The 8,676-nt window shown below is 44.1% G+C and overlaps 1 protein-coding gene across 2 annotated transcripts in view; it reads left to right on the forward strand.

The window, feature by feature from the left end:
• TGM4 (transglutaminase 4) overlaps positions 1-8,415 on the forward strand; it is a 40,383-nt gene extending 31,968 nt beyond the window's left edge. For both annotated transcript variants that reach the window (XM_011534042.3, NM_003241.4), the window contains 5 exons: positions 374-625; positions 3,515-3,793; positions 4,383-4,552; positions 4,695-4,831; positions 7,009-8,415. In XM_011534042.3, coding sequence (XP_011532344.1) covers positions 374-625; positions 3,515-3,793; positions 4,383-4,552; positions 4,695-4,831; positions 7,009-7,150 — 980 coding nt within the window. In that variant the 3' untranslated portion in view covers positions 7,151-8,415. The remainder of the gene's footprint in view (positions 1-373; positions 626-3,514; positions 3,794-4,382; positions 4,553-4,694; positions 4,832-7,008) is intronic.
• The last annotated feature ends 261 nt before the right edge of the window (positions 8,416-8,676 follow it).

The raw sequence follows: 8,676 nt of genomic DNA on the forward strand, positions 1-8,676 counted from the left end.
AGGAAATGGAGCCACAGAGAGCTGAAATGCCTTGCACAAGGTCACATAGCTCCAAGGTGTGATGCCAGGAATCAGACCCAGATTGTGTGTCTCTGTGCTCTACTGGGGACTGATGTGCTGGGATGAGTTTAATAGGCAGCATGACTTCCTATTACTGGGACAGAGGATTCCTGACACTCTTCAAGTCAAAGCTGAGATGTGCCCCTCTTTTCAGAATAGTTAAGGATGGCCTAGGAAATGAGTACCCAGATGCTTCTTGGGCAAAATTTGCTTGCCAGTCCTGTTTGAGTTTGGGAATCATTGCTGCCACTGGGTCCAGGCTGGGTGGGCTGGGGAACCCCACTGAGAGTGACCACCCCTGGCTTCCCCTCAGGTGTCTTCTGCTGTGGGCCATCACCACTGACCGCCATCCGCAAAGGTGACATCTTTATTGTCTATGACACCAGATTCGTCTTCTCAGAAGTGAATGGTGACAGGCTCATCTGGTTGGTGAAGATGGTGAATGGGCAGGAGGAGTTACACGTAATTTCAATGGAGACCACAAGCATCGGGAAAAACATCAGCACCAAGGCAGTGGGCCAAGACAGGCGGAGAGATATCACCTATGAGTACAAGTATCCAGAAGGTGCTAGCATCACAGGGCTCCTTCTGACTCAGCCCCTGAGTCACCCAGAACATGAAAATAGTCAAGATTGGGGGTGGGCCTGGGCAACATGGTGAAACCCCATCCCTACCAAAAAAAAAAAAAAAAAAAAAAATTAGCTGGGTGTGGTGGCATGTGCCTGTGGTCCCAGCTACTCAGGAGGCTAAGGTGGGAGGACTGCTTGAGCCAGGGAGGTTGAGGTTGCTGTGAGCTATGACCATGCCACTGCACTCCAGCCTGGGTGACAGAGCAAGACCCTGTCTCATACAAACAAAAAGACAAATCCTAATTGAGGCCTTTGCATTGTTTGACCAGCTCATTCACCTTGCTAAGACTGTCCGTTCTCCCCAGTGCCCAGTAAATTAGACATCTTCTCAGCCTGGCTTTCTGGCCCCTGCAGAGCTGGCCTCTGGCTCCCTTCCTGAGCTTAAGTTCATCCCCTAGCCATGCTGCCTGCTGTTACCTGAAAATGCTGGCTACTTTCACCCCTGGCCAAACCTCTGCTTATGCTTTCCCTAACTGAACTGTCTCCTTTGCAATCTCTACTATCCACAGGCTCATACGCTGCCTCTGTTCTTGATGTTCCTCAATCTGACAGATTTGTATTTCCCCTGTGGCCCATTGGCTGTGGTTCCTGTACCACGTGGTAAGGAAAGGAAGACAACTCCATATAGCATCCTCAAAGGGTGCAAGAGTCCAGACAGGGGCAAACTGAAGATGGGATGTGATTAAGAGGAAGGCAGGAAATCGTAAGGACTCATAGACGAGGGAGCAATTTGCTATGCTATGGGATGGCAGATGGTACCCATGCAGCTGGGGCTTTTCCCACCCTCCATTGCAGTATAGTTACAAGCAGGTCAGTTTGGACCCCTGGGTTGATTGTGAGCTTGTGTAAAACCTTGTACAAGGTAGGCCTGCAGTAAATATTTCTTCCATATAAATGAGGCAAGTGATTGATGGCTACCAAGGCAGCTCAGGACAAACTGGAGCTCTCCACTTTGAAGTCTCTTTGTGTTCAGAATGGACGTGGATGGAGAGCTTTGTAACCAAGCTCAGAAATTCCTGTCTTACAGCTGCTATCTCTGAAATAGAATCTTATCCTCAGGGTTGTGTTGAAAATGAGCAAACTTGATTAAAAGCAATTAGGTCAGGAGTGTTTTTTTTTGTTTTTGTTTTTTTTGTTTTTTGTTTTTTGTTTTTTTTGCAGGGTGACAGAAGTATCAGGGAGGGAGGGAAAGGATAGAGAGGGAGACCAGTGGTGTCTGTCAACTGCTACACTTGATGGTGTCCCTCAGGTCTCTGAGGCTCTGTTCACTCTTCCTCATTGTTTTTCCTTTCTGTCTCTCAGACTAGATAATCTTATGACCTGTCTTCAAGTTTGCTGATTTTCCTGCAAGCTCTAATCTGCTATTATTGTACTTTTCAACTCCAGAATTTATATTTGGTTCTTTTTTAAAAATAATTTTAATCTCTCTCGATATTCTCTATTTGGCAAGCCATTTGTTCTCACACTTTTTTTTTAGTTTTTTGAATATATTCAAAATAGCTAATTTAAAGTCTTTGTCTAGTAGGTTCAATGTCAGGGCTTCCTTAGGGACAGTTTTTATTGACTGTTTCCATGTTCCTACCCTGCCACCCCCACACCACCATGTATGGCCTATAGTTTGTTTGCATGTCTTGTAATTTTTTGTTAAAAATTGGACATTTTAAAGAACATAATATGGCAACTCTGGAAATCAGATCCTGTCCCCCATCCCAGGGTTGCTTTTGTGGTTGCTATTTGTTTAACAACTTCTCTGATATAATTCCAGAAATTCTATAATCTTTCTTGTCCATGACCACTGAATTCTCTGCTCAGTTTGCTGAATGGTCAGCTAATGATTAGATGGATATTGCTTTAAATTCCTTGAATCATTAAGACTCCTAGCCTTTGGCAAGGGGCTCTGTGTACAAGTTAGGGTACATTTCAATGCTCTGGCAGGCAATTTACAATTCTGCCTTCACTTCTTGCTTGAGCCTCAAGGTCAGTTAGAGGTGAGAGCCTTATCAGATCTTTCTCAGACCTTCTAGATTTCCAGGAATCTGTCTGAGCTTTTCAAAGCCCCCGTGGACATTTTGTCCCTCAGCTTTTCCTTTTAAGCTTTTTGGTCGGCTTCTTTTCCCCTCAACTCCCTTCTTTTCCTTATTGCCTTAGGAAACTGCAGTTGTAAACAATTGCTGCAGGTTGTTTGTCTTAACAAATGCTCCAGGGAAAAGGCTGTTGGTAATGAGGGAGCTCTGAGTCAGGTCAATGAAGACAAACTCTGTGAATGAGGGTTTCCAGGGAATCGCCCTTAGGTCAATTAACAACAATTCTCTGGTAGTGGAGCTTTTAGCGGAACTCCAAAACCATTCTGTCCCCTCCAGAGGTGGCTAGGCTGCTGGTTTTCACTGTGATTTGGTGCTGTGGTTTTTGAGTCTACTCTGGAGCTGGAAAGAAGGGGAGATGGGAATCAGAATGCCACAAAACTATTCTTACTGAGATTGTGCTGTTTTTCTTGAATAAATGCTCCTTAGATTATTATAAGCCTTTAGTTAATTTCAAGAATTCTGAAAAAGTTGATTTGATAATTTTTGCCAATGTTCTCATTGCTTTTATGGAGAAGCAGATTTTTGGAGGTCTTTATTCTGCCATTCCCACTGATGTCAGAATGTGCTATTGCTTAGGAATGGGGATTTGAATGATCCTCTGTGTGAATCTATAGCTCATGGGCTCCAGGGATGTCTCTGGAGTCCTGGCCAGGCAGATGGTCTCCTTCTGCCACACGGGTGGTTGGGACATTTGGTCCTTGAAGGAGCACCTGAAGGAAGCTGCCTTTGTGTCTCTTTCAGGCTCCTCTGAGGAGAGGCAGGTCATGGATCATGCCTTCCTCCTTCTCAGTTCTGAGAGGGAGCACAGACGACCTGTAAAAGAGAACTTTCTTCACATGTCGGTACAATCAGATGATGTGCTGCTGGGAAACTCTGTTAATTTCACCGTGATTCTTAAAAGGAAGACCGCTGCCCTACAGAATGTCAACATCTTGGGCTCCTTTGAACTACAGTTGTACACTGGCAAGAAGATGGCAAAACTGTGTGACCTCAATAAGACCTCGCAGATCCAAGGTCAAGGTACCAGAACCAGAGGGAGGAGAGGCCTCAAGTGGGCTCAGGGTCCCACAATCTGAAATCCCTCTTCTCCTCTGTGGACAACTTCCATACATTGATAAATTTTTGTGTGTGAGTTAACACAAACATTTATTGAGCACCTACCCCTTGGTAGTCACAAGAAAGCCAGCCACAGAAGAAAAGTGAGCCAAAGAGACCACTGGACTAGGAGCCTGGGTCTATCGTAGAGTTATAAATTAGGGGTGCTGAAAGTGTCATGAGAAGTCTTCTATGGTGGCAGAAATTTTAATCTCAGATGCCCAGTCAGATCAATGATTATGAGTACCCAAGGCACAGTGTTGGGAACAAGTGGGATGTCCTGATGACAACGGGTAATGTCTGTCATGGACTCAGGATGTAAGCTTGGAGAACTTGGCCAATTATTATTCCATCTTGAGCCCAACGTCTTGTTTTCTAAAGAGAGTATGGGACATGTCCAAAGTTATCCAGTTCAATTCACACAAAGTTAATCTAATTCTGTGCTTGATGAGGAGAACTCATACTGGGGGGGTATGATGAATGACCTCTCCCCTCCACCCTGACTCTTTGGCAGTATCAGAAGTGACTCTGACCTTGGACTCCAAGACCTACATCAACAGCCTGGCTATATTAGATGATGAGCCAGTTATCAGAGGTTTCATCATTGCGGAAATTGTGGAGTCTAAGGAAATCATGGCCTCTGAAGTATTCACGTCTTTCCAGTACCCTGAGTTCTCTATAGAGGTGAGCTTCCTGCAGGCCATAAAGGGCTCCTTCTGCCTGGAAGTTGGCCATGGAGTGTGACGGGGCCCCTAAGAACCCTGAGGGTCCTTGGTTGGCTCATGCATATCTTCTCTCCCCATCTCTCCTCCCCACCCTACTACAGTTGCCTAACACAGGCAGAATTGGCCAGCTACTTGTCTGCAATTGTATCTTCAAGAATACCCTGGCCATCCCTTTGACTGACGTCAAGTTCTCTTTGGAAAGCCTGGGCATCTCCTCACTACAGACCTCTGACCATGGGTGAGTCTGCCTGAGGTATTCTTAGAAATATGCTTCTGGACATATATCTTGCACATGTGTGCATATTCCTGAGAAGTGAATTCCCAGTATGGGGTCACAGGGTCAAAATGTAGATACATTTTGCTAGTGCCAAATTACTTTGAGAAAAGATTGCATCAATTTATGCTCTACCGACAGATCTTTTTGATTCTTGCCAATCTAGTGGTTAAGTAATCTCATTGCTTTACTTTGCATCTGATTATTTGTGAGGTTGAATATTTCTTACATTAATTGACTCTCTCCTGTGAATTGCCTGTTCCTAACTTTTGTCCATTTTTCTACTGAGTCATTTATTTTTTCATATTGGTATGGTGTCTTTACACAGTAGAGTGTTATGTGCTGTGAATTTTTTTATAGCAGTTTTGTATTCAATTTTTTAAATTTGATTCTTATTTATTTTGAGGTGGAGTCTCACTTTGTTGCCCAGGCTGGAGTGCAGTGACACGATCTTGGCTCACTGCAATCTCCATCCGTCCCCAGGTTCAAGTGATTCTCCTGCCTTGGCCTCCTGAGTAGCTGGGATTACAGGCATATGCCACCACACCCGGCTAATTTTTGTATTTTTAGTAGAAACGGGGTTTCCCCATATTGGCCAGCCTGGTCTTGAACTCCTGACCTCAGGTGATCTGCCCGCCTTGGCCTCCCAAAGTGCTGGGATTACAGGCATGGGCCATCATGCCCGGCCGAACAGTTTGTATTTTTTTAAACACTAAGATGTCTTTCACCAGTAGAACTTTTAAATTTTAATGTAGTCAAATTTTTCAATCTTTTCCTTTACGGATACTGAATTTCATGTCATCCTAGGTGCATAGAAATATTCTCTTATGCTTTTTCTAGAATTTCCAGCTTTATTTACACAATTAGGTATTTATCTGGAATTTTTTTTGGGTGTGGAGTGATGTGGAGCTCCAACTTTGTCTGTGGTTTTCCTAGTACTTTGTAGCACTGCCTTTATTATGCTGTCAATTCCCATATATATCTGGGTCTCTGGACTCTTTAATTTGCTATTTCATTTGTCTTCTTCTAATATAACATCATACCACTTAAATTATTGTAGTCCTATAATAATTTTATATGATTATCATATCTACATATTGATATGTATTAGGCAAATCCCCACCCCACCCCCATTTTTGTCTATAGCACTTTTAGAATCATCTTGTCATATAATTTTAAAACAGCTGGGATTTAGATTGATACTGCATTGAATTTACCTATTTATTTGGGGGAGAATTATGCCAAATGACAATATTGTGTCTTGCCATCTAGGAATATGAGATTTTCCCATTTTTTTCCAGTCTTTTTTATCACCTTTAGAAAAGCTATATTGTTTTCTTTATATACCACTTGCACGTTATTAGTTGGGTTAATTCCAAGATGCATCAATATTATAGCTTTTATGAATGGAATATTTTTCATTGTATTTTCTAATTGTTTGCTGGACTATATGGAAATTGATTTTTGGCATGCTGATATATCCAGCAAAAAACTTTACTGAACTCTAATGTTTTGTTTCTGAGAGGTTTCTGATGGTCTGTTTCTTACAGGATGTCTGAATCTTCCAAGTAAAAATGAGTAGACTCCTATTTTCCTTAGACCACGATTTATCACATTTTAATGTGCACACAAATTACCTGGGGAGTATTGTTACAGTGTAGATTCTGATTCAGCAGGTTTAGGGTGGAGCCTCAGATTCTGTGTTTCCTACAAGCTCAGCTAGTATTGCGAAGCCCCAGAACACACTTTGAGTAGTGAGGGGCTAGCCAATTCCTTGCATGTGGATTCAACATAAAATACATGTTCCTCTTAGATTTTATGTAATAGATGACTGTTGCTAATACTCATGAAACAAGAACATCTGTAGTAAAGTCAGGCAAGACTCCAGGGAAGATTTGTGAAATGTCAGAGTTGGAAGAGCTTCTGGAAACCAGCTGGTTCACCCGTCTTGCTTTACATCTGAGAAAACTGATAGCAGCACCCAGGGTGCAGGTACACTGTGCCATGCCCTGGAATGGCCAGGACTTTTCAAAGAGGCTGAGCTAAGGCTCAGTTTCCTGGCTTCTCACCCAACTCATCTTCTCCCTCTTCCCATAACATCCTTGGCTGATTGTATGTCCGTATGTCTTTGAATTTTCCAGGACGGTGCAGCCTGGTGAGACCATCCAATCCCAAATAAAATGCACCCCAATAAAAACTGGACCCAAGAAATTTATCGTCAAGTTAAGTTCCAAACAAGTGAAAGAGATTAATGCTCAGAAGATTGTTCTCATCACCAAGTAGCCTTGTCTGATGCTGTGGAGCCTTAGTTGAGATTTCAGCATTTCCTACCTTGTGCTTAGCTTTCAGATTATGGATGATTAAATTTGATGACTTATATGAGGGCAGATTCAAGAGCCAGCAGGTCAAAAAGGCCAACACAACCATAAGCAGCCAGACCCACAAGGCCAGGTCCTGTGCTATCACAGGGTCACCTCTTTTACAGTTAGAAACACCAGCCGAGGCCACAGAATCCCATCCCTTTCCTGAGTCATGGCCTCAAAAATCAGGGCCACCATTGTCTCAATTCAAATCCATAGATTTCGAAGCCACAGAGTCTCTCCCTGGAGCAGCAGACTATGGGCAGCCCAGTGCTGCCACCTGCTGACGACCCTTGAGAAGCTGCCATATCTTCAGGCCATGGGTTCACCAGCCCTGAAGGCACCTGTCAACTGGAGTGCTCTCTCAGCACTGGGATGGGCCTGATAGAAGTGCATTCTCCTCCTATTGCCTCCATTCTCCTCTCTCTATCCCTGAAATCCAGGAAGTCCCTCTCCTGGTGCTCCAAGCAGTTTGAAGCCCAATCTGCAAGGACATTTCTCAAGGGCCATGTGGTTTTGCAGACAACCCTGTCCTCAGGCCTGAACTCACCATAGAGACCCATGTCAGCAAACGGTGACCAGCAAATCCTCTTCCCTTATTCTAAAGCTGCCCCTTGGGAGACTCCAGGGAGAAGGCATTGCTTCCTCCCTGGTGTGAACTCTTTCTTTGGTATTCCATCCACTATCCTGGCAACTCAAGGCTGCTTCTGTTAACTGAAGCCTGCTCCTTCTTGTTCTGCCCTCCAGAGATTTGCTCAAATGATCAATAAGCTTTAAATTAAACTCTACTTCAAGAAAACTCTGTGGTCCCTGAGTCCTTTTTTCTTTATGCCAATAAGCTTCTTAAATGTGCTGGCGGTTTATGCAGTCACTTGGGGAGCCATGGAATCCTTTGATCTCCCCAGGCAAGGTGCTCTGAGGAGTTGGCTTCTTTATTGTCTGTTCAGTACATCCAACCCCTCTCTCAAAGGCTGTCACCCCAACTGGATACACACCCTGGCAAAGGCACGTAGCTTGAATGAGGGTTATTTTGTGTCTAATTCACAGGAGAGTCATGGGTGGGATACCTGTCATCCTCTGCCTTTCCAGCTGTCCAAGTGAAAAAAACCTCAATCCTGGTCACCCTTGCCCAAGTTGCCCACATCCCTGGCATACAGTAGGTGTTCAATAAATGTTTATTGAAGGAAAGGTGACTGTTCCTTCTGCTGGAAATACCACAAGGGTGGTGACACAAACAAGAGTTTGGTCAGTCACTCCACAGCACAGTGTCCGATCCCAAGAGGTGATATAGCCCGGCACGGCCACTGTGTGGTGCCGTATGACACTCACTTGTCTCCCACACTGGGAATGGAAGAAAAGTAGCTTTCCTAGAGGTGCCTTTAGGGTGGCCCATAAGGAAGGACACTGCCCAAGGGTTTGAGCTGGGATCTCTTAATTAAAACAGGAGAC

The sequence above is a fragment of the Homo sapiens genome, chromosome 3, assembly GCF_000001405.40.
Source record: "Homo sapiens chromosome 3, GRCh38.p14 Primary Assembly".
NCBI classification, from domain to species: domain Eukaryota; kingdom Metazoa; phylum Chordata; class Mammalia; order Primates; family Hominidae; genus Homo; species Homo sapiens.